Source organism: Homo sapiens, chromosome 2 (assembly GCF_000001405.40).
Source record: "Homo sapiens chromosome 2, GRCh38.p14 Primary Assembly".
Taxonomy (NCBI): Eukaryota; Metazoa; Chordata; class Mammalia; order Primates; family Hominidae; genus Homo; species Homo sapiens.
Window position 1 is genome coordinate 90287425 of NC_000002.12, and position 22996 is coordinate 90310420.

Genomic DNA, 22996 nt, shown 5'->3' on the forward strand with positions numbered 1-22996 from the left:
TACATGTTTATATTTAATATAGAAAATATGTTTATATTTAATGTACAGGATACATATTTACATTTAATATAGAAAATACATATTTATATTTAACATACACAGTATTTATATTTAATGTATAAAATATGTTTACATTTAATGTGCTGAATATATGCTTATATTTAATGTCTAAAATGTCTATATTTAATGTACTGTATACATTAAATGTACCAAATGTATTCTTATATTTAATGTATAAAAGAAGTTTATATTTAACATATAAGATATGTTTACATTTAATGTATAAAATGTTTATGTTTGATGTATAAAAGATGTTTATATTTAACGTATACAATTTATATTTAATGTACCAAATATATTATTATATTTAATGTCCAAGCCAGCCAAGCCAGTCAGCCAAGCCAGCTAAGCCACCCACCCAGCCAAGCCAGCCAAGTGAGCCAGCTAGCCAGCCAGCCAAGCCAGCCAAACCAGCCAAGCCAGCCAGCCAGCCAAGCCAGCCAAGCCTGCCAGCCAGCCAAGCCAGCCAAGCAAGCCAGCCAGCCAAGCCAGCCAGCCAGCCCAGGAGCCCCAGCCAGCCAGCCAATCCAAACAGCCAAGCCAGCCAAGCCAGCAAGCCAGCCAAGCAAGCCAAGCCTGCCAGCCAGCCAAGCCAGCCAAGCAAGCCAGCCAGCCAAGCCAGCCAGCCAGCCCAGGAGCCCCAGCCAGCCAGCCAACCCAAACAGCCAAGCCAGCCAAGCCAGCCAGCCAGCCAAGCCAGCCAAGCCAGCCAGCCAGCCAAGCCAGCCAAGGCAGCCAAGCCAGCCAAGCCGGCCAGGCAGCCAAGCAAGCCAAGCCAGCCAGCCAGACAAGGCAGCCAAGCCAGCAGGCCAAGCGAGCCAAGCCAAGCCAGCCAAGCCAGCCAGTTAGCCAGCCAAGCCAGCCAAGCCAGCCAGCCAGCCAAGCCAGCCCAGCCAGCCAGCCAGCCAGCCGAGCCGGCCAAGCCAGACAGTGAGCCCAGCCAGCCCAGCCAGTCAGCCAGCCAAACCAGCCAGCCAGCCAAGCCGGCCAGCCACCCAGCAAAGCCAGCCAAGAGACCCAAGCCAGCCAGCAAAGCTGGCCAAACCAGCCAAGCCAGTCAGCCAAGCCAGCCAAGCCAGCCAAGCCGCCCAGCCAAGCCGCCCAGCCAGCCAAGCCAGCCAAGCCGCCCAGCTAACCAGGCCAGCCACCCAGCCAGTGAGCCAAGCCAGCCAAGCCAGCCAGGCAGCCAAGCCAGCCAAGCCAGCCAAGCCAGCCAGCCAGCCAGCCAAGCCAGGCATGCCAGCCAAGCCATCCAGTCAGCGACGCCAGCCAGCCAGCCAAACCAGCCAAGCCACCCAGCCAGCCAAGCCACCCAGCCAGCCAAGCCAGCCAAGCCAGCCAAGCCCGCCAACCAGCCAAGACAGGCATGCTAGCCAAGCCAGCCAGGCAGCCAAGCCAGCCAGGCAGCCAAGCCAGCCAAGCCAGCCAGCAAGCAAAGCCAGGCATGTCAGCCAAGCCAGCCAGGCAGCCAAGCCAGCCAAGCCAGCCAGCCAGCCAAGCCAGGCATGCCAGCCAAGCCATCCAGCCAACTAAGCCAGCCGGCTAGCCAAGCCAGCCAAGCCACCCAGCCAGCCAAGATGGCCAAGCCACCCAGTCAAGCCAGCTAAGCCAGCCAGGCAGCCAAGCCAGCGAAGACACCCAGCCAGCCAAGCAAGCCAAGCCACCCAGCCAGCCAAGCCTGCCAAGAGACCCAGCAACCCAAGCCAGCCAAGACACCCAGCCAGCCAAGCTAGCCAAGACACCCAGCCAGCGAAGCCAGCCAGCCAGCCAGCCAGCCAAGCCTGCCAAGCCACCCAGCCAGCCAAGCCAGGCAAACAACCCAGCCAGCCAAGCCAGTCAAGCCAGCCAGCCAGCCAAGCCGGCCAAGCCACCCAGCCAGCCAAGCTGGCCAAGCCACTCAGCCAGCCAAGCCAGCCAGCCAGCCAAACCGGCCAAGCCACTCAGCCAGCCAAGATGGCCAAGCCACCCAGTCAAGCCAGCTAAGCCAGCCAGACAGCCAAGCCAGCCAAGCCAGCCAAGACCTCTAGCCAGCCAAGAAAGGCATGCCAGCCAAGCCAGCCAACCAGCCAGACAGCCCAGCCAGACAGCCAGCCCAGGCAGCCAAGAGACCCAAGCCAGCCAGCGAAGCTGGCCAACCCAGCCAAGCCAGTCAGCCAAGCCAGCCAAGCCGGCCACCCAGCCAAGCCAGCCAAGCCAGCCAACCAGCCAGACAGCACAGCCAGACAGCCAGCCCAAGCAGCCAAACCAGACAAGCCAGCCAGCCAAGCCAGCCAAGCCAGCCAAGCCAGCCAGCCAGCCAAGACAGCCAAGCCAGTCAAGCCAGGCAAGCCAGCGAGCCAGCCAAGCCAGTCAACCCAGCCAGCCAAGCCAGCCAAGACAGCCAGCCAGCCAAGCCGGCCAAGCCAGACAGCCAAGCAAGCCATGGAAGCCAGACAGCCAGCCAGCCAAGCCAGTCAAGCCAGCCAGCCAGCCAAACCAGCCAAGCCAGCCAACCCAGCCAGCCAAGCCAGCCAAGCCAGCCAAGCCAGTCAGCCAGAAAAGCCAGCCAAGCCTGCCAGCCAGTCAAGCCAGCCAAGCCAGCCAGCCAGCCAAGCCAGCGAAGACACCCAGCCAGCCAAGCAAGCCAAGCCACCCAGCCAGCCAAGCAGCCTGCCAAGAGACCCAGCAACCCAAGCCAGCCAAGACACCCAGCCAGCCAAGCTAGCCAAGACACCCAGCCAGCGAAGCCAGCCAGCCAGCCAGCCAGCCAAGCCTGCCAAGCCACCCAGCCAGCCAAGCCAGGCAAACAACCCAGCCAGCCAAGCCAGCCAAGCCAGCCAAGCCAGCCAGCCACCCAGCCAGCCAAGCCAGCCAAGCCTCCCAGCCAGCCAAGCCAGCCAAGCCACCCAGCCAGCCAAGACAGCCAAGCCACACAGCCAGCCAAGCTGGCCAAGCCACTCAGCCAGCCAAGCCAGCCAGCCAGCCAAGCCGGCCAAGCCACTCAGCCAGCAGCCAAGCTGCCCAAGCCACTCAGCCAGCCAAGCCAGCCAGCCAGCCAAGCCGGCCAAGCCACTCAGCCAGCCAAGATGGCCAAGCCACCCAGTCAAGCCAGCCAAGCCAGCAAGCCAGCCAAGCCAGGCATGCCAGCCAAGCCATCCAGCCAGCTAAGCCAGCCGGCTAGCCAAGCCAGCCAAGCCACCCGGCCAGCCAAGCCAGCCAGCCAAGCCAGCCAAGCCAGCCAACCAGTCAAGCCAGTCAGCTAGCCAAGCCAGCCAAGCCACCCGGCCAGCCAAGCCAGCCAGCCAACCCAGCCAAACCAGCCAACCAGCCAAGACAGTCAGCTAGCCAAGCCAGCCAACCAGCCAGCCAGTCAAGCCGGCCAGCCTGCCAGCCAACCAAGCCGGCCAGACAGCCAAGGCAGCCAAGCCAGCCAAGCCACCGACCCAGCCAAGCCACCCAGCAAGCCAAGACAGCCAAGCCAGCCAAAACAGCCTGCCAGCCAAGCCAGCCAAGACATCCAGCCTGCCAAGCCAGCTGGCCAGCCAAGCTAGCCAATCCACTCACCCACTCAAGCCAGCCAAGTCACCCGGCCAGCCAAGCCAGCCAAGCCAGCCAGCCAGCCCAGACAGCCAAGCCAGCCAGCCCAGACAGCCAAGCCAGCCAGCCAGCCAAGCCAGCCGAGCCAGCCAAGCCACACAGCCAGCCAAGCCACCCAGCCAGCCAAGACAGCCAGCAAGCCAGCCAGACAGCCAAGCCAGCCAGCCACCCAGCCAGCCAGGCCGGCCAGCCACCCAGCCAGCCAGGCCAGCCAGCCATCCAGCCAGCCAGGTCAGCCTGCCACCCAGCCAGCCAAGACAGACAAGCCAGCCAAGCCAGCCAGCCACCCAGCCAGCCAGGCCAGCCAGCCACGCAGTCAGCCCAGACAGCCAAGTCAGCCAGCCAGCCAAGGCAGCCAAGCCAGCCAACCAAACAAGAGAGCCAGCCAACCAAGCCAGCCAAGCCAGCCAGCTAGCCAAGCCACCCAGCCAGCCAGCCAGCCAAACCAGCCAAGCCACCCAGCCAGCCAAGCCAGCCAAGCCAATCAGCCAGCCAGGCAGCCAGCCACCCAAGCCAGCCAAGCCAGCCAAGCCATCCAAGTCAGCCAGCCAGCCAGCCAGCCAAGCCAGCCAAGCCTCCCAGCCAGCCAAGCCAGCCAAGCCACCAAGCCAGCCAAGCCAGCCAAGCCACCTAGCCAGCCAGGCCCGCCAGCCAGCCAGCCAGCTAGCCAAGCCAGCCAAGCCAGCCACCCTGCCAAGCCAGCCGGCCAGCCAAGCTAGGCAATCCACTCAGCCACTCAAGCCAGCCAAGTCACCCGACCATCCAAGCCAGCCAAGCCAGTCAGCCAGCCCAGACAGCCAAGCCAGCCAAGCCAGCCAAGCCAGCCAAGCCCGCCAACCAGCCAAGACAGGCATGCTAGCCAAGCCAGCCAGGCAGCCAAGCCAGCCAAGCCAGCCAGCAAGCAAAGCCAGGCATGTCAGCCAAGCCAGCCAGGCAGCCAAGCCAGCCAAGCCAGCCAGCCAGCCAAGCCAGGCATGCCAGCCAAGCCATCCAGCCAACTAAGCCAGCCGGCTAGCCAAGCCAGCCAAGCCACCCAGCCAGCCAAGCCAGCCAGCCAAGCCAGCCAAGCCAGACAAGCCAGCCAACCAGCCAAGCCAGCCAGCTAGCCAAGCTACCTAGCCAGCCAGCCAGCCAAACCAGCCAAGCCACCCAGCCAGCCAAGCCACCCAGCCAGCCAAGCCAGCCAAGCCAATCAGCCAGCCAGGCAGCCAGCCACCCAAGCCAGCCAAGCCAGCCAAGCCAGCCAAGCCAGCCAGCCACCCAGCCAGCCAAGCCAGCCAAGCCTCCCAGCCAGCCAAGCCAGCCAAGCCACCCAGCCAGCCAAGCCAGCCAAGCCACCCGGCCATCCAAGCCAGCCAAGCCAGTCAGCCAGCCCAGACAGCCAAGCCAGCCAAGCCAGCCAAGCCTGCCAACCAGCCAAGAAAGGCATGCTAGCCAAGCCAGCCAGGCAGCCAGGCCAGCCAGGCAGCGAAGCCAGCCAAGCCAGCCAGCAAGCAAAGCCAGGCATGCCAGCCAAGCCAGCCAACCAGCCCAGCCAGCCAGCTAGCCAAGCCACCCAGCCAGCCAGCCAGCCAAACCAGCCAAGCCACCCAGCCAGCCAAGCCACCCAGCCAGCCACGCCAGCCAAGCCAATCAGCCAGCCAGGCAGCCAGCCACCCAGCCAGCCAAGCAGGCCAAGCCACCTAGCCAGCCAGGCCCGCCAGCCAGCCAGCCAGGCAGCCAAGCCAGCCAAGCCAGTCAAGCCCGACAGCCAGCCAAGACAGGCATGCCAGCCAAGCCAGCCAGGCAGCCAAGCCAGCCAAGCCAGCCAGCCAGCCAAGCCAGGCATGCCAGCCAAGCCATCCAGCCAACTAAGCCAGCCGGCTAGCCAAGCCAGCCAAGCCACCCGGCCGGCCAAGCCAGCCAAGCCGGCCAAACCAGCCAACCAGCCAAGCCAGCCAGCCATCCAAGCCAGCCAAGACAGCCAGCCAGCCAAGCCAGTCAAGCCAGCCATACAGCCAAGCCAGCCAAGCCAGGCAAGCCACCCAGCCAGCCAAGCCATCTAGCCATCAAGCCAGTCAGGCCAGCCAGCCAGCCTGCCAAGCCGGCCACCCACCAAGCCAGCCAGCCATCCACGCCCGCCAAGCCAGTTAGCCAGCCAGCCAAGCCACCCAGCCAGCCAAGCCAGCCAAGCCACACAGCCAGCCAAGCCACCCAGCCAGCCAAGACAGCCAAGCCACACAGCCAGCCAAGCCATCCAGCCAGCCAAGACAGCCAAGCCAGCCAAGCCATCCAGCCAGCCACGCAAGCCAAGCCAGCCAGCCAGCCAAGCAATCCATGCCAGCCAAGCCATCCAGCCAGCCAAGCGAGGCGTCCGGCCAAGCCACCCCACCAGCCAAGCCAGCCAGCCAGCCAGCCAGCCAGCCAAGCCACCCAGCCAACTAAGCCAGCCAAGCCACCCAGCCAGGCATGCCAGCCAAGCCACCCAGCCAGCCAAGCCTGTCAGCCAGCGAACCAGCCAAGCCAGCCATGCCAGCCAGCCAGCCAAGCCATACAAGCCAGCCAGCCAGCCATGCCAGGACGAGACTCCATCTCAAAAAAAATAAAAAAAAAGACAGCCTGGCCAACATGGAGAAACCCTGTCTCTACTGAATGTATAAAAAATTATCTAGGCGTGGTGGCACATTCCCGTAATCCCAGCTACTCGGGAGGCCCAGGCAGGAGGATCGCTTTAACCAGGGAGGTGGAGGTTGAAGCGAACCAAGATTGCACCACCTCATTCCAGCCTGGGCAACAGGGTGAGACTCAATCTCAGAAAAAAAAAAGAAAAAAAAAAAGGCCAGCCTGGCCAACATGGTGAAACCCCATCTCTACTAAATATAAAAAGAAATTAGCTGGGCGTGGTGGCACATGAATGTAATCCCAGCTACTCGGGAGGCCCAGGCAGGAGGATCGCTTGAACCCTGGGGGTGGAGGCTACAGCGAGCCAAGATTGCACCACTGCACTCCAGCCTGGGCAACAGGGCGAGACTCCATCTCAGAAAAAATAAAATAAGATATACCAGCCTGGCCAACACGGTGAAACCCCATCTCTACAAAATATACAAAAAAATTAGCTGGGCGTGCTGGCACACGTCTGTAATCCCAGCTACTCGGGAGGCCCAGGAAGGAGGATCGCTTGAATCAGGGAGGTGAAGGCTGCAGCGAGCCAAGATTGCACCACTGCACTCCAGCCTGGGCAACAGAGTGAGACTCCATCTGAAAAAACAGAAACATTCCAGCCTGGCCAATAGAGCGAGACTCCATCTCAAAAAAAAAAAACAACAAAAAAAACACCAGCCTGGCCAACATGGTGAAACCCCGTCTCTTCTAAATATACAAAAAAAATAGGGCCGGGCGTGGTGGCTCATGCCTGTAATCCCAGCACCTTGGGAGGCCGAGGTGGGTGGATCACGAGGTCACGAGATCGAGACCAGCCTGACCAACATGGTGAAACCCCGTCTCTACTAAAAATAGAAAAATTAGCTGGGTGTGGTGGCACATGCCTGTAATCCCTGCTACTCGGGAGGCTGAGGCAGGAGAATTGCTTGAACCTGGGAAGCGGAGGTTGCAGTGAGCCGAGATGGCGCCACTATACTCCACGGTGGTGTCAGAGCGATACTACATCTCAAAAAAAAAAAAAAATTAGCTGGGTTTGGTGGCACACACCTGTAATACCAGGTACTCGGGAGGCCCAGACAGGATGATCACTTGAACCCGGGAGGGGGTGGTTGCCGTGAACTAAGATTGTAGTACTGCACTCCAGCCTGGGCAACAGGGCGAGACTCCATCTCAGGAAAAAAAAAAAAAAAAGACCAGCCTGGCCAACATGGTGAAACCCCGTCTCTAGTAAATATACAAAGAAATTAGCTGGGCGTGGTGGCACATGAATGTAATCCCAGCTACCCAGGAGGCCCAGGCAGGAGGATCGCTTGAACCTGGGAGGTGGAGGCTGCCGCGAGCCAAGATTGCACCACTGCACTCCAACCTGGGCAAAAAAGTGAGACTCCATCCGAAAAAAAATAAGAACTCCAGCCTGGGCAATAGAGCGAGACTCCAACTCAAAAAAAAAAAAAAAAAAAAAAAAAAAGACCAGGTTGGCCAACATGTTGAAATCCCGTCTCTACTAAATATACAAAAAAAATTAGCTGGACGTGGTGGCACAGGCCTCTAATCCCAGCTACTGGGGAGGCCCAGGCAGGAGGATCACTTGAACCTGGGAGGTGGAGGCTGCAGCGAGCCAAGATTGCACCACTGCACTCTGGCCTGGGCAACAGAGTGAGAGTCCATCTGAAAAAAAAGAAGCACTCCAGTCTGGTCAACAGAGCGAGACTCCATCTCAGAAAAAAAAAAAAAAAAAAAAAAAAGACCAGGTTGGCCGACGTGGTGAAACCCCGTCTCTACTAAATACACAAAAAAATTAGCTGGGCGTGGTGGCACACGCCTGTAATCCCAGCTACTCGAGAGGCCCAGGCAGGAGGATCGCTTGAACACAGGAGGTGGAGGTTGCAACGAACCAAGATTGCACCACTGCACTCCAGCCTGGGCAAGAAAGTGAGATTCCATCTGAAAAAAAAGCACTCCAGCCTGGGCAATATAGCAAGGCTCCATCTCAAAAAAAAGAAAAAAAAAAAAGACCAGCCTGTCCAACACGGTGAAACCCCGTCAGTACTAAATATACAAAGAAATTAGCTGAGCGTGGTGGCACACGATTGTAATCCCAGCTACTCGGGAGGCCCAGGCAGGAGGATCGCTTGAACCCGGGAGGTAGAGGTTGCAGCCAGCCAAGATTGCACCACTGCACTGAACCCTGGACAACAGAGTGACACTCCATCTGAAAAAAAAGAAGAACTCCAACCAGGGCAATGGAGCGAGACTCCATCTCAGAAAAAAGAAAAAAAAAAGAGCACCTTGGCCAACATGGTGAAACCCCCTCAGTACTAAATACACAAAGAAATTAGCTGAGCATGGTAGCACACGAATGTAATCCCAGCTACTCGGGAGGCCCAGGCAGGAGGATCGTTTGAACCCGGGAGGTGGAGGTTGCAGCGAACAAAGATTGCACCACTGCACTCCAGCCTGGGCAACAGAGCGAGACTCCCACTCAGAAAAAAAAGAAAATGAAAAAAACACCAGCCTGGCCAACATGGTGAAACAACGTCTCCACTAAATATACAAAAAAAATAGATGGGCGTGGTGGCACTCATCTCTAATCCCAGCTACTCGGGAGGCCAACGCAGGAGGATCACTTGAACACAGGAGGTGGAGGCTGCAGCTAGCCAAGTTTGCACCATTGCACTCCAGCCTGGCAAACCAAGCCAGCCAAGCCAGCCAGCCAAGCCAGTCAAGCGACCCAGCCAGCCAGCCAGCCAGCTAAGCCACCCAACCAGCCAGCCTGCCAAGCCAGCCAAGCCAGCCAGCCAGCCAGCCAGCCAAGCCAGCCAAGCCAGCCAAGTCAGCCAAGCCAGCTAGCCAGCCAAGTCAGCCAAGCCAGCTAGCCAGCTAGCCAGCCAAGTCAGCCAAGCCAGCTAGCCAGCCAAGCCAGCCAAGCCAGCCAGCCAGCCAGCCAGCAAAGCCACTCAGCCAGCCAGGCAGCCAAGCCAGCCAAGACAGCCAGCCAGCCAGCCAGCCAAGCCAGCCAAGCCAGCCAGCCAGCCAAGCCAGTGAAGCCACAAAGCCAGCCAAGCCAGCCAAGCCAGCCAAGCCAGCCAGCCAACCAGCCAGCCAAGCCAGCCAAGCCTCCCAGCCAGCCAAGCCAGCCAAGCCAGCCAGGCCCGCCAGCCAGCCAAGACAGGCATGCCAGCCAAGCCAGCCAGGCAGCCAAACCAGCCAAGCCAGCCAGGCCCGCCAGCCAGCCAAGACAGGCATGCCAGCCAAGCCAGCCAGGCAGCCAAGTCAGCCAAGCCAGCCAGCAAGCAAAGCCAGGCATGCCAGCCAAGCCAGCCAGGCAGCCAAGCCAGCAAAACTAGCCAGCCAACCAAGCCAGGCATGCCAGCCAAGCCATCCAGCTAGCTAAGCCAGCCGGCTAGCCAAGCCAGACAAGCCACCCGGCCATCCAACCAGCCAGCCAAGCCAGCCAAGCCAGCCAACCAGCAAAGCCAGTCAGCTAGCCAAGCCAGCCAACCAGCCAGCCAGCTAAGCCGGCCAGCCTGCCAGCCAACCAAGCCGGCCAGACAGCCAAGGCAGCCACGCCGGCCAGGCAGCCAAGCCAGCCAAGCCACCGACCCAGCCAAGCCAGCCAAGCCACCCAGACAGCCCAGACAGCCAAGCCAGGCAGCCAGCCAAGCCAGCCAGCCAGCAAAGCCAGGCAGCCAGCCAAGCCAGTCAAGCCAGACAGCCAGTCAAGCCAGACAGCCAGCCAAGCGAGCCAAGCCAGCCAGCCAGCCAAACCAGCCAAGCCAGCCAGCCAGCCAGCCAGCCACGCCAGCCAGCCACCCAGCCAGCCAGCCAGCCAGGCCAGCCTGCCACCCAGCCAGCCAAGCCAGCAAGCCTGCAAAGCCAGTCAGCCACCCAGCCAGCCAGGCCAGCCAGCCACCCAGTCAGCCAAGCCATCCAAGCCAGCCAGCCAGCACAGACAGCCAAGCCAGCCACCCAGTCAGCCAAGCCATCCAAGAGAGCCAGCCAGCCCAGACAGCCAAGCTAGCCAGCCAGCCAGGCAAGCCAGCCAAGCAAGCCAGCAAGCCAGCCAGCCAAGCCAGCCAGCCAAACCAGCCAAGCCACCCAGCCAGCCAAGCCACCCAAGACACCCAGCCAGCCAGCCAGCCAAGCCAGCCAAGCCACCCAGCCAGCCAAGCCGGCCAAGCAAGCCAGCCAAGCCAGCCAAGCCAGCCAAGCCTGCAAAGCCAGCCAGCCAGCAAAGCCAGCCAAGTCAGCCTGCCAAGCCAGCCAAGACATCCAGCAAGCCAAGCCAGCCAAGCCAGCTAGCCAAGCCAGCCAAGCCAGCCAAGCCCGCCAAGCCAGCCAAGCCAGCCAAGGCAGCCAAGCCAGTCAGCCAGCCAAGCTAGCCAAGCCAGGCAGCCATCCAAGCCAGCCAGCCATCCAAGCCAATGAAGCCAGCCAGCCAGCCAAGCCACCCAAGCCAGCCAAGCCAGCCAACTCAGCCAGCCAGCCAAGCCAGCCAAGCCAGCCAGCCAGTCAATCCAGCCAAGCCAGCCAGCCAACCAAGCCAGCTAAACCAGCCAGCCAGTCAATCCAGCCAAGCCAGCCAGCCAACCAAGCCAGCTAAACCAGCCAGCCTGCCAAGCCAGCCAAGCCAGCCAGCCAGCCAGGCCAGCCAGCCAGCCCAGCAAGCCAAGCCAGCCAGCCACCCAGCCACCCAAGACAGCTAAACCAGCCAGCCTGCCAAGCCAGCCAAGCCAGCCAGCCAGCCAGGCCAGCCAAGCCAGCCAAGCCATTCAAGCCAGCCAGCCAGCCCAGCCAGCCAAGCCAGCCAGCCAGCCCAGCCAGCCCAGCCAGCCCAGCCAGCCAGCCAACCCAGCCACCGCTGCCAGCCCAGCCAGCCACACAAGCCAGCCAAGTCAGCCAGCCAGCCAAGCCAGCTGGAAAGAGAGAGAGAGAAAAGGGAAGGAAGGAAGGAAGGAAGGAAGGAAGGAAGGAAGGAAGGAGGAAGGAAGGAAGGAAGGGGAGAGAGAAAGAGAGAGATTGGGAGAGAGAGAGAGTGAGAGAGAGAGAAAGAAAGGAAAGGAAGGAAGGAAGGAAGGAAAGAAAGAAAGAGAGAAAGAAAGAAGGAGAGAGAGAAAGAAAGCAGGAAGTAAGGAAGGAAGGAGAGAAAGAAAGGAAGAAAGAAGGAAGGAAGGAGAGAGAGAAAGAAAGAAGAAAGAAAGAGAAAAAAGAAGGAAGGAAGGAGAGAGAGAAAGAAAGGAAGACAGAAGGAAGGAGAGACAGGGAAAGAAAGGAAGAAAGAAGAAAGAAAGATAAAGAAAGAAAGAGGAGCAAATGTACACTGCTCAGGAATCTCCTTTTCCTGTGGCCGGGGCAAGATTGTTTGCATTTTTCTCTGTAAGGAAAAAACAAAACCACACACACACACTACACACACACAGCAATAAGCTTTCATCCAGCCGGCACAAGACAGTTTCCTAGAGAATCTGTACACAGTCATGATGCTGGAGTCTCAATTTCAGATTGGGTTAAAGTGCCCTGCAAACCAGCATTTGCAGAGGCCATGGGAGAGGTTACTGGGGAATTAAGAGCTGCAGAGATGAGGGTCTCCGGCCGTCACCTTTGCAGCTGCAGGAGAGAGGAGGTGATTAGGGAATCTCCGTGTTCCCTTCTGAGCCTGGCAGGTGTGTTGTCCCCACCCTGTCTCCAGCACCGCACAGTTCATTGCAATGCAAGCCCTGCTTTCGGGTTTAGCAAAGGTAACTCCCCCTGGCACCCCCAGGCTTCTGCTTCCAGCACAGCGACTGCGACGTGGTGTTTGCTCCTCGGTCCTCATACAGAATTTGCCCACCTCAACTCAATCTTCCTCTCCCGGCGGTACCATTAATATTTTAATTTAATCAGAATTTCTGGGACTGGCTTGCCATCCTGAACAACCTAGTTACCTGTCAGCCTCTATCAGCTTGTCATATTAGAGAGGATTGTCCTGGGAATCTAATCTGCCTTAAATGATTTCATGGGGTGTTGGTCTATAAATCATCTCGACGCAAGCCTGACAACGTGAAGGCTTCAGTGGGTAAACAAACCACACTTGTTTTATTTTCAGCAGGCACAGACTTTGCTTTATCAACTTCTTATTGATTTTCGTGCTCCAAGAGGTCAAAAAAATGTTTTTGCTTCTCCTTTACATACAAAAACATTATTCGTAGAAGAGCTGTGGGCAGGCAACTCTCATTAACATAAGTTCTGAGATTTGCAGGTGAGCTGGCTGGTTGGAGAAACGACACACACCTGTTTCAGCCAAGCCCCTGGTGGAGTTTGGAGTTTCCAAAATGTTGACTTTTCCTCTTTCTGGTCAAAATAGAAATTATATGGATATTAAGGAGCCCCAAGTGTCTTCAGGGATGTTGAGGAACCCTGGACATACAAATACACACACACACACACACACACACACACACACACACACGTACACACACTCACCACCCCATGCCAAGAAGATACACAAAAAACTCACTCACGTTTCACTTCAGTTTGCAAATTTGGAGCTGACTTAATGAAGGAAAGAAAAATTGGAGCTACAAAGTAACACAGAGCCAATGAAAAGACAAAAAACACCATTAGATTTTCTTCTTTTCTAAAGTTTTATTTTATTTTTAAGAGTCAACGTTCGGATCAGGCGCAGTGGCTCACGCTTGTAATCCCAGCGCTTTGGGAGGCTGAGGTGGGAGAATCACAAGGCCAGAAGTTCAAGACCAGTCTGGGCAACATAGCAAGATCCCATCTCTTAAAAAAAAAGTACAAAAGTTAGCTGGACCTACTGGTGCAGACCTGTATTTCCAGCTACTGGGGAGGCTGAGGTGGAAGGATGGTTTGAGTCCAGGAGGTTAAGGCTGCACTGAGCCATGATTGCATCACTGCACACTCCAGCTTAGGCAACAGAGCAAGACCCTGTCTCAAGAAAAAAAACTCCATAATGATTGTACACATTTATGACATATACTGTTTCCAAGCACGTGTATATCATGTAATGACACCTCATGGTAATTATCAGATCCAGCTGCTCAGAAATCTCATTTTCCGGTGGCTGGGGAATACGCATTTTTTTTTTTTTTTTTTTGAGACAGAGTTTCGCTCTTGTCACCCGGGCTGGAGTGCAATGGAATGATCTTGGCTCACTGCAAACTCCGCCTCCCGGGTTCAAGCGACTCTCCTGCCTCAGCCTCCCCAGTAGCTGGGATTACAGGCATGTGCCACCACGCCTGGTTCATTTTGTATTTTCAGTAGAGACTGGGTTTCATCGTGCTGGCCAGGCTGGTCTCGAACTCCTGACCTCAAGTGATCCACCCACCTCAGCCTCCCAAAGTGCTGGGATTACAGGCGTGAGCCACCGAGCCTGGCCAACCCTCTCCTCTTTCAGGGGCTTAAATAAAATTTGCTTTTCTCCCCAAAGGCGGGTCCCCACCCCATTCAGCCCAGTTTCAAAGGGTGGAGTGTAAACGGTGGGTTGCCCAATTCCTGCTGCCGTGAAGTACTTCAGCTTACAGCGGAAAGCCGGGTGCAGACACCATGCTTTATTTCTATTTCCACGAACAAGAAGCGTCTCTTGCAGTCTGCAATATTTGTCGTCAAAAATTTCACTGGCTGTTGTATCAAATCAGCCACCTCTATAGGGTGTGATCATTGACAATTTTTTGTTACATCCCGATGGTTGTTTTACCTGGACCGTTTTCTTCCTTTCATGGGTGAAGCAAAACTCCTTGGTGGACTTTTTTTTTTTTTTTTTTTTTTTTTTGAGACAGAGTCTTGCTCTGTCGCTCTGTTGCCCAGGCTGGAGTGCAGTGGTGCGATCTCGACTCACTGCAACCTCCGCCTCCCGGGTTCACACCATTCTCCTGCCTCAGCCTCCCCAGTAGCTCGGACTACAGGCACCCACCACCATGTCCACCTAATTTTTTGTATTTTTAGTAGAGACAGGGTTTCACCGTTTTAGCCAGGATGGTCTCGTATCCTGACCTCGTGATCCGCCCGCCTCGGCCTCCCAAAGTTCTGGGATTACACGTGTGAGCCACCGCACCAGGCCAATGTGATGATTATCTATGGATATACCCTGATCATCAGCAGGAGGAAATGAAGAGGTATTGGTTAAAAATACAAAGTTGCAGTTACGCAGGATGAATAAGTACTAATTTGTAACAATTCAGTATGAAACAGTGTGACCATGGTTAACAAGGCTCTGCTCTATGCCTGACATCTGAGAACAGAGGAATTGAAGTCTGAACTTTGTCCAGAAGAGGATGGCTTTGCAGGCTTTGCTGAGCATGCTGAATTCACGGTTTCCGGGTCAGCCCCTGGGCTGCCCAGGGACAGGGTGGAAACCCTGCCCCAGAAAGTCCAGGAGCCAGGAACCTGCTTAGAGACACATTTCAACAAGGAAAACCACACTCAGGCCGGCCTCCTTAAAAACACATAGGCCCGGCGTGGTGGCTCAAGCCTGTAATTCCAGCACTTTGGGAGGCTGAGGCAGGTGGATTGCCTGAGTTCAGGAGTTCGAGGCTGCAGTGAGCTATGATTGCACTCCAGCCTGGGCAACAGAGTGAGACCCTGTCTCAAAGAAATAAACAAATAAATGAATAAGCAAGCAAGCAATTTTTAAGTTGAACATCAGTTCTCTACTTGACTCTAGAGTTAAATAGGCATCCAGTTGCTTTTTGTGTTTATTTTTATATTCACTGCTTTTGCCTGCAACTGTGTTTCTGGTTCTAAGTAAATATAACGTATGCTACTGGTACACATACATCTTAGGCAACATATGTTTCATTCACTGGATTGTTAGCTCTGTTTTGTTTTGTCACTACTTTAGTCCCAGTACCAATAACTGTGCCAGGCACAAAGTAGGTGTTTAGCTAATATTGTTAAATGAAGAAATACAAATATTTGATTTTATCACTTGAATCCTCATTTATTAGTACTGCACTATCTTTTCTTAGCTGTTTTTGTGAACATATGTGTGCTGCTTTTTTACCCTAACTAGATTGGAAGTACATTGTGGGTAGAAACTTGGTTTTATTTGTTTTTCCTATATTCTCCTTTACAGCAGTTTAGACCTGATGGGAAGTAGGTATTTCCCAAACACGTGATTGAACTGAAATACATTGGTAGATTTCATTTTATCAGGAGTCTGCCAAAAGTATAGTCATAAATAAGGAATTTGGAAGAGAATCAAAAAGCTAGTATGTACTCATCTGTCAGCTTGAAGGCCTGTATAAGACTCCATACTTCTGTGGAGTAAAAAGGGTAGGGTTCTGGGGCTGGACGCGGTAGCTCACACCTGTAATCCCAACACTTTGGGGAAAAAAAGAGGGTTCTGGGACTATTCTTTGCTGCTTCTTCTTTTTTTTTTTTGAGACAGTTTTGCTCTGTCATTCAGGCTGGAGTGCAGTGGCATGATTTCGACTCACCACAACCTCTACCTCAGGTTCAAGCAGTTCTCCTGCCTGAGCCTCCTGAGTAGCTGGGATTACAGGTGCTTGCGACCACACCTGGCTAATTTTTTTATATTTTTAGTAGAGATGGGGGTTTTACCATGTTGGCCAGGCTGGTTAAGAACTCCTGACCTCAAGTGATGCGCCCATCTCGGCCTCCCAAAGTGCTAGGATTACAGGCGTGAGCCACTGCGCCCGGCCTCTGGGACTGTTCTTTTCCTTGCTCCTTAACAGACTATTTCCTGCTTTTTGTTTTGTTTTGTTTTGCTTTGCTTTGTTTTTTGTTTTTGGCCTTCTAACTGTGTTACAAATGGTTTAAGTCAGTGGTTCTCCAAGGGTGGTCCCAGATCAGCAGCATTATCACCTGGGTACTTACTAGAAATGCAAATTCTTGGGCCCCACTCCAGACCTACTGAATGAGCAACTCTGAGGGTAGAACCTAAAAAATTGTGTTTTAACAAGTCATCTGGGTGACTCTGATGGTAAAGTTTGATGTCACCAAATGATAATGATGCTTTTTTTTTTTAATTGAGATGGAGTCTTGCTCTGTCGCCCAGTCTGGAGTGCAGTGGCATGATCTTGGTTTACTGCAACTTCCACCTCCCAGGTTCAAGCAATTCTCCTGTCTCAGCCTCCTGAGTAGCTGGGACTACAGGCACACGCCACCATGTCTGGCTAATTTTTGTATTTTTAGTAGAGATGGGGTTTCATGATACTGGTCAGGCTGGTCTCAAACTCCTGACCTCAGGTGATCCACCTGTCTCGGTCTCCCAAAATGCTGGGATTACAGGCATGAACCACTGTGCCTAGCCTGATAAAGACACTGTCTTTAAGAGAGAGGGCTAGAGGCAGTGATTATGTGCCAGAGAAAACTAGCAGCCTAGATTTAAGAGGATAATATAATCCAAAGCTTTTCAGAGGGAATAGATACAGTTTATAGAAGGCATTAAGACATAAAGCAGATTATTGAAACTTCACTGTACACTGTAACCGTATAATTGACTTTTACTTATATATTTCCTCTTTTACTTTGAAGTTTGTGTTCAAATCAAAAGATGAGAACCTTAAATTAATCAAGTTTTATAATATTTTATTTTAGATTTTTGTAAAAGTGAATGCTTTTTATATTCCATAGCAAGTAACTGAAAAGCTACTGAAAAGTGTCCAACCCAAGAATTTTGTGTATTTTTCATTTTGAATATACTTCTCAGTGATTTCAATTTTGAATCCTAGCCCTTTTAAATTTCAGAATACACAGTAGTTTAAAATGGCTTCAATAAGGCTGGGCGCGGTGGCTCGCACCTCTAATCCCAGGGCTCAGGGAGACCGAGGTGGGTGGATCACGAGGTCAGGAGTTTGAGAACAGCCTGACCAAGTGGTAAAACCCCGTCTCTACTAAAAATACAAAAATTAGCTGGGCATAGTGGTGCGCACCTGTAATCCCAGCTACTCAGGAGGCTGAGGTAGGAGAATTACTTTGACCCCGGGAGGCTGAAGTTGCAGTGAGCCGAAATCGCACCACTGTACTACAGCCTGGGCCACAGAGTGAGACTCCGTCTCAAAAGAAAAAAAAAAGGGTGGGGGGGCTTTAATAAATTAAGTGGTACATTTTAAATATTTTAATTGTTTATTAGATATTACGTATGCAGATAAACCTGTTTAAATATAGAAGATTTATATTCCTATTTACATATATCCTTTTGACAAATTAGAATTGAAAATAATATAAAAATAAATTTTCAGCTGGGCACGGTGGCTCACACCTGTTCCCAGCATTTTGGGAGGCCGGGGCAGGCGGATCACGAGGTCAGGAGATTGAGACCACGGTAAAACCCCGTCTCTACTAAAAATACAAAAAATTAGCTGGGTGCAGTGGCGGGCGCCTGTAGTCCCAGCTACTCAGGAGGCTGAGGCAAGAGAATGGCGTGAACCCGGGAAGCGGAGCTTGCAGTGAGCTGAGATGGTGCCACTGCACTCCAGCCTGGGCAACAGAGTGAGACTCCATCTCAAAAAAAATAAATATATAAAATAAAAAATTAAATAAAAAAATAAATTTTCTTTCTGTCATGCAGACTTAAATAGTAAAATATCTTCCTTCTATTATTTTTATCTTTTTTGTTTATGATGGTTAGGAAGTGAATATCTAATTTTCTATACTGTGAAAAATACACATAAAGTATCATGGAAGTTCAACATTCATTTTCCTTGAAAATAATTCCAAAGTTTTCTTCTCCAGAAATATATCCTGTTATCATTAAGTTTAGTTGTACTGATAAATGGCAGTTGATGATTTGTAAGTTTTTAAACATATTTATTCATAACACTTATTTTTTTTCTTTTTGAGACGGAGTCTCACTCTGTTGCCCAGGCTGGAGTGCAGTGGTGTGGTCTCGGCTCACTGCAACCTCCACCTCCTGGGTTCAAGCAGTTCTCTGCCTCAGCCTCTCAAGTAGCTGGGATTACAGGCACCTGCCACCACGCCCGGCTAATTTTTTTTTGTATTTTTAGTAGAGATGGGGTTTCACCATCTTGGCCAGGCTGGTCTTGAACTCCTGACCTCGTGATCCACCCGCCTCGGCCTCCCAAAGTGCTAGGATTACAGGGGTGAGCCACCACGCCCTGCCTTTTTTTTTTTTTTTTAAAGATGGAATCTCACCGTGTCGCCCAGGCTGGAGTGCAGTGGTGCGATCTCTGCACACTGCAACCTCCGTCTCCCGGGTTTGAGTAATTCTTCTGTCTCAGCCTTCCGAGTAGCTGCGAATACAGTGCCTGGCTGATTTTTGTATGTTTAGTGGAGACAGGGTTTCACTGTGTTGGCCAGGCTGGTCTCGAACTCCTGACCTCAGGTGATCCCCCCGCCTCAGCCTCCCAAAGTTCTGGGATTACAGGTGTGAGCCCCTGTGTCCGACCTATTTTCCTCTTTTTCTTTTTACTTTTTCCCTTCCCTTTATTTCTTCCTTTCACTGTTTTCATCTTTTATGTCTCTCACCCTCGCCCTTCCTCAGTTCAATTCAAAGAGCAATATACTGCCATATCTGGAGAATTTTTAGCTGGAATTTAATCTTTATTTTAAAAGAGTAAGAATTTATACCAATTATTATGTTTTCGACTGAGGTCGTTTTACAGAAGGAATTCTTTTTTTTATGTAGGAATGTGTTTTAAGACTTTTTGTTTCTAATGTCTTAGTTTTCTAGAGAAAAAAAGGTAAAAGATTGACATTATTCTCATAGTCTTTTACTCTTTTCTCAAAGGTCTTAGTTCAGGTCCTAATTTTCTTTCAATTATACTCATTTATTTAACCAGTCTCCTTTAGGTGGTCATTTGGGTTGTATACATATTCTTGTCTGTGTTTTATCAGTAATGTATTATATAATTTCATGTATGTACAAATATATATTTGAAGGATAACATTCTAAAATTGCTGAGTTAAAGGGTATATGCATTTATAAACTTGACAGATATTACCAGTTGTCCTCTATAAAGTGAAACTGGTTTATATCACCACAGCTAACATATAAATGTCTGTTTTCTACCATATTATTAAGTTACTGAACTTTATCCATCTGATGGAAAAGGAGAAATCTGATTGTACTTTATTTTTTATATTTTTAATATTTTTATGAGCCGTCTTGGCATGTTGGCCAGGATGGTCTCAAACTCCAGCCTCAAGCAATCCTCTCACCTCAGTCTCCCAAAGTTCTGGGACTACAGGCATTAGCTACCATGCCTGGCCCTGATTACCACCCCACCACCCACCCCCCATCCCCTTTTTTTTTTTTTTTTTTTTTGAGACAAGGTCTCACTCTGTCACCCATGTTAGAGTGTGGTGGTGTGATCACTGCTCACTGCAGCCTTGGCCTCCTGGGCTGAGGTGATTCTCCTGTCTCAGCCTCCCAAGTAGCTGGGACCACAGACACATGCCACCATGCCTGGCTGATTTTTTAAATTATTTGTAGGGAAGTGGTCTCGCTATGTTGCCCAGGCTAGGCTCAAACTCCTGAGCTCAAGTTATCCTCCCACCTCGGCCTCCCAAAGTGCTGTAATTACAGGACTGAGCCACTGTGCCCAGCCTCTGATTATACTTTTAATTGTAACTTCTCTTATGCTTGAAGTTGAACATATACAGTAAAGACGTTATGGTATTGTAGGCTGAAGTTTCAGAATCATCCAGGACCAATGATGTTAGCAGAAATGCAAAACTAGCCAAGGAGTATCGAGAGGACAAAATTGATAATTGATATTGTTATTACCTTCAAAGTTTGATTGCATTGATTAGCTTATTATTTTTATTAAAATCATTTTAAAGAGCATATAAAGTTCTATGCCAAAGCATGTTTGGCCTGACAAGTTGGGCTGTCACTTCCTTTTGACAAGACTTTCATTTTTATCAGCTTTAAATGCATGTGTCATTACTATTCTGGTTAGGTAACATAATTATCCCACTGCAGAATATATAATTTCAAAAGAGTCTTGTGGATATTTGATGCCTTTTCCTCTGAAAACAATTGAATTGTTTTCAGACCACTTTTATTTCAGTAAGATAAACGTAATCCTTCCTTTAATTGTAATGTAAAATTTAAGAGCATATTGAAATGAAAAGAAAAGCTCAACACTACCTATATTTTGAAAGTTATAAGAGACTAGATAAGTTGGATTTTATGTTTCTTGTGGTACAGAATAGAAACAAAGGTCATTCAAACTAAGTTTGAATGAGAATTAAGTTTAATGGCTCACTTGCTAAACCTGAGTTGCACAATCCTCACAATTCCTTAGGGATGTGGCAAGGTCATCCTTAAATGTAAAGTTCTTGCTCACTTAATGGAAAGCACTGTAGATACATAAATAACATTGTTACCTGTCTTAGTGGGTCAGTATAAAAGACGGGGGTGGTGGTATATGTGAGAATAGTGAAATTTATAGCTAGTTTTGAGGCCCTTGTGACTTTTAAGAGGTATTATGAGTCACCTTAACAAGTTAGTGTTTGTGACATAGTTTCAATTTCTTATGTGAAAGATAGTATTTCAGTTGTAAATGTTCTCTTAATATTCTGGAGAGCTACTCTTTCCTAGCCCCTCTGTTTTACTGACTTTAAAAGTTGTTTACAGTTTGTTTCATGTTCAAATGTAGGGTTTTAGTAATTCCTTGGGGTGGGGGGCAGGAATGGGCAGAAGGCCATTGTCTCTAATTTTCCTTTTCCCAACTTTCACTTTCTTTTTTCTATGGATTACATGTCAAGGTGGGTGAGAAAAATGGTGGGGATTGAGAAAAGGGAGCAACTTATTTTTTGTAGGGGAGGTCCAAAATAAAGTCACTTAAGGAATCTGACATAAAATTTAAATATATGATGAAGCTTGTGCAAGGGGATTATAAGAACTGATTTTACTTTAACCCTTCCTGCTTTATAAAAAGATCTTGTTGATGGCAAAAAGACAAACGCTTTAGCAAACTGTACTGTACACCTTGCATTTGTTTGTATTAATATTAGTTGTTTTATTTTTTAATATGGAGTCTCACTCTGTTACCCAGGATGGAGTGCAGTGGCGCAATCTCGGCTCACTGCAACCCCTGCCTCCTGGGTTCAAGCAATTCTTCTGCCTCAGCCTCCCGAGTAGCTGGGATTATAGGTGCCATCATGCCCGGCTAATTTTTGTATTTTTAGTAGAGACAGGGTTTCACCATGTTGGTCAGGCTGGTCTCGAACTCTTGACCTCAAGTGATCCACCCGCCTCAGCCTCCCAAAGTGCTGGGATTACAGGTGTGAGCCACCGCACCCGGCAGTATTAGTTGTTTTATATTGTAGACTCTTAAATGATGTGGACTATGTGTTGTAAAATCCCTACCCTGAAGTACAATGCATTTAGATGTCCCCCCGCCCTTTTTAACTTAAATCCTTTTTCCCCCTTGCAGTCAGTGCATTTTTATATTTCTACATGCTTTGTGAGAAATGTGTAAAGGAAATATTTTTGCATCTAATTGTTCTAACTTCCAAAGGTTCTTTACTGAGTTAAAAAAAACTGGTTTTTTTTTGGTCTAAACTGAATTTTGTCTGTCTTTCCCCTACTCAGGCCCAGATTACCTTCCTACAGGGAGAAAGGAAGGGCCAAGAAAATTTGAAGAAGGATCTTGTGAGGAGGATCAAAATGTTGGAGTATGCTCTTGAACAGGAAAGGTAATTCAGTAAAATGAAAAGTGGTGTTCTTTTTTGTTTGTTTTGAGATGGAGTTTCATTCTCGTTGCCCAGGCTGGGGTGCAATGGTGCGATCTTGGCTCACCTCAACCTCCACCACCTGGTTCAAGCAATTCTCCCGCCTCAGCCTCCCCAGTAGCTGGGATTATAGGCATGCACCACCACACCCAACTAATTTTGTATTTTTAGTAGAGACGGGCTTTCTCCATGTTGGTCAGGCTGGTCTCGAACTCCTGACCTCAGGTGATCTGCCCACCTCGGCCTCCCAAAGTGCTGGGATTACAGGTGTGAGCCACTGGGCCTGGCCAAAATGGTGGTCTCTTAAATGCTGGAACAATTTTTTCATCATTCCTAAAATAAATTGAAATGTTAATACTGCTTGAGTTCAGGTGTGTCTGTAGTAAACATTTGTATGAATGGTTGTAATATGTTAATTTTATTATGAATAGTTTAATAATGATCAAAAAACTGATTTATATGATTTCTTAAAAATTAGCAACATTTTTTTCCTACTCTGCCTGTTTTGAAGAAGCAGATGTGCTCCCTGAGCTGTTAATACCCACTCATTTTAAAGTTGAAATAGTTTTTAATTTTTAAAGGAGGTTTCTATAATGTTTACTCCTTTTCCTGTCATTTAATATTATTCAATTTGATGTATTTTCTTTAGAAAAAAAATTGTTCTAGCAGACTATGTTAAGATTCTATATAGACTTTTTTTTTTGAAACGGAGTCTCGCTCTGTTGCCCATGCTGGAGTGAGGTGGTGCAATCTCGGTTCACTGCAAGCTCCACCTCCCAGGTTCATGCCATTCTCCTGCCTCAGCCTCCCAAGTAGCTGGGACTACAGGTGCCCGCCACCACACCTGGCTAATTTTTTGTATTTTTAGTAGAGATGGGGTTTCACCATGTTAGCCAGGATGGTCTCGATCTCCTGACCTCGTGATCCCCCAATCTTGGCCTCCCAAAGTGCTGGGATTACAGGCGTGAGCCACCGCGCCCAGCCTATAGACTTTTTTTGTGTATTTTGTTTCTTTGCTGTCTGCCGTTACAATCTGTCCAGAAGCTTGTCT

The 22996-nt window shown here is 51.0% G+C and overlaps 1 pseudogene, besides 10 other annotated features; it reads left to right on the forward strand.

The window, feature by feature from the left end:
- Window positions 323-1092: an enhancer, noted in NCBI's record as "H3K27ac-H3K4me1 hESC enhancer chr2:90485521-90486290 (GRCh37/hg19 assembly coordinates)". NCBI's record gives its function as "activates a minimal SCP1, AML or CMV promoter by ChIP-STARR-seq in primed H9 embryonic stem cells {active_cell/tissue: H9 hESC(primed)}" and the evidence as "EXISTENCE:reporter gene assay evidence [ECO:0000049][PMID:30033119]".
- Window positions 1093-1864: an enhancer, noted in NCBI's record as "H3K27ac-H3K4me1 hESC enhancer chr2:90484749-90485520 (GRCh37/hg19 assembly coordinates)". NCBI's record gives its function as "activates a minimal SCP1, AML or CMV promoter by ChIP-STARR-seq in primed H9 embryonic stem cells {active_cell/tissue: H9 hESC(primed)}" and the evidence as "EXISTENCE:reporter gene assay evidence [ECO:0000049][PMID:30033119]".
- Window positions 3370-3664: a silencer, noted in NCBI's record as "tiled region #11653; K562 Repressive non-DNase unmatched - State 7:EnhWF". NCBI's record gives its function as "represses a minimal TATA promoter and a strong SV40 promoter by Sharpr-MPRA in K562 cells {active_cell/tissue: K562}" and the evidence as "EXISTENCE:reporter gene assay evidence [ECO:0000049][PMID:27701403]".
- Window positions 3370-4376: a biological region, named in NCBI's record as "OCT4-H3K27ac-H3K4me1 hESC enhancer GRCh37_chr2:90482237-90483224".
- Window positions 3389-4376: an enhancer, noted in NCBI's record as "OCT4-H3K27ac-H3K4me1 hESC enhancer chr2:90482237-90483224 (GRCh37/hg19 assembly coordinates)". NCBI's record gives its function as "activates a minimal SCP1, AML or CMV promoter by ChIP-STARR-seq in naive H9 embryonic stem cells {active_cell/tissue: H9 hESC(naive)}" and the evidence as "EXISTENCE:reporter gene assay evidence [ECO:0000049][PMID:30033119]".
- Window positions 4377-5363: an enhancer, noted in NCBI's record as "OCT4-H3K27ac-H3K4me1 hESC enhancer chr2:90481250-90482236 (GRCh37/hg19 assembly coordinates)". NCBI's record gives its function as "activates a minimal SCP1, AML or CMV promoter by ChIP-STARR-seq in naive and primed H9 embryonic stem cells {active_cell/tissue: H9 hESC(naive and primed)}" and the evidence as "EXISTENCE:reporter gene assay evidence [ECO:0000049][PMID:30033119]".
- Window positions 5364-6351: an enhancer, noted in NCBI's record as "H3K27ac-H3K4me1 hESC enhancer chr2:90480262-90481249 (GRCh37/hg19 assembly coordinates)". NCBI's record gives its function as "activates a minimal SCP1, AML or CMV promoter by ChIP-STARR-seq in primed H9 embryonic stem cells {active_cell/tissue: H9 hESC(primed)}" and the evidence as "EXISTENCE:reporter gene assay evidence [ECO:0000049][PMID:30033119]".
- Window positions 9205-9734: an enhancer, noted in NCBI's record as "H3K27ac-H3K4me1 hESC enhancer chr2:90476879-90477408 (GRCh37/hg19 assembly coordinates)". NCBI's record gives its function as "activates a minimal SCP1, AML or CMV promoter by ChIP-STARR-seq in primed H9 embryonic stem cells {active_cell/tissue: H9 hESC(primed)}" and the evidence as "EXISTENCE:reporter gene assay evidence [ECO:0000049][PMID:30033119]".
- Window positions 10577-11325: an enhancer, noted in NCBI's record as "H3K27ac-H3K4me1 hESC enhancer chr2:90475288-90476036 (GRCh37/hg19 assembly coordinates)". NCBI's record gives its function as "activates a minimal SCP1, AML or CMV promoter by ChIP-STARR-seq in naive and primed H9 embryonic stem cells {active_cell/tissue: H9 hESC(naive and primed)}" and the evidence as "EXISTENCE:reporter gene assay evidence [ECO:0000049][PMID:30033119]".
- Window positions 13384-14098, forward strand: LOC101926946 (uncharacterized; annotated as a pseudogene).
- Window positions 15711-16290: an enhancer, noted in NCBI's record as "OCT4-NANOG hESC enhancer chr2:90470323-90470902 (GRCh37/hg19 assembly coordinates)". NCBI's record gives its function as "activates a minimal SCP1, AML or CMV promoter by ChIP-STARR-seq in primed H9 embryonic stem cells {active_cell/tissue: H9 hESC(primed)}" and the evidence as "EXISTENCE:reporter gene assay evidence [ECO:0000049][PMID:30033119]".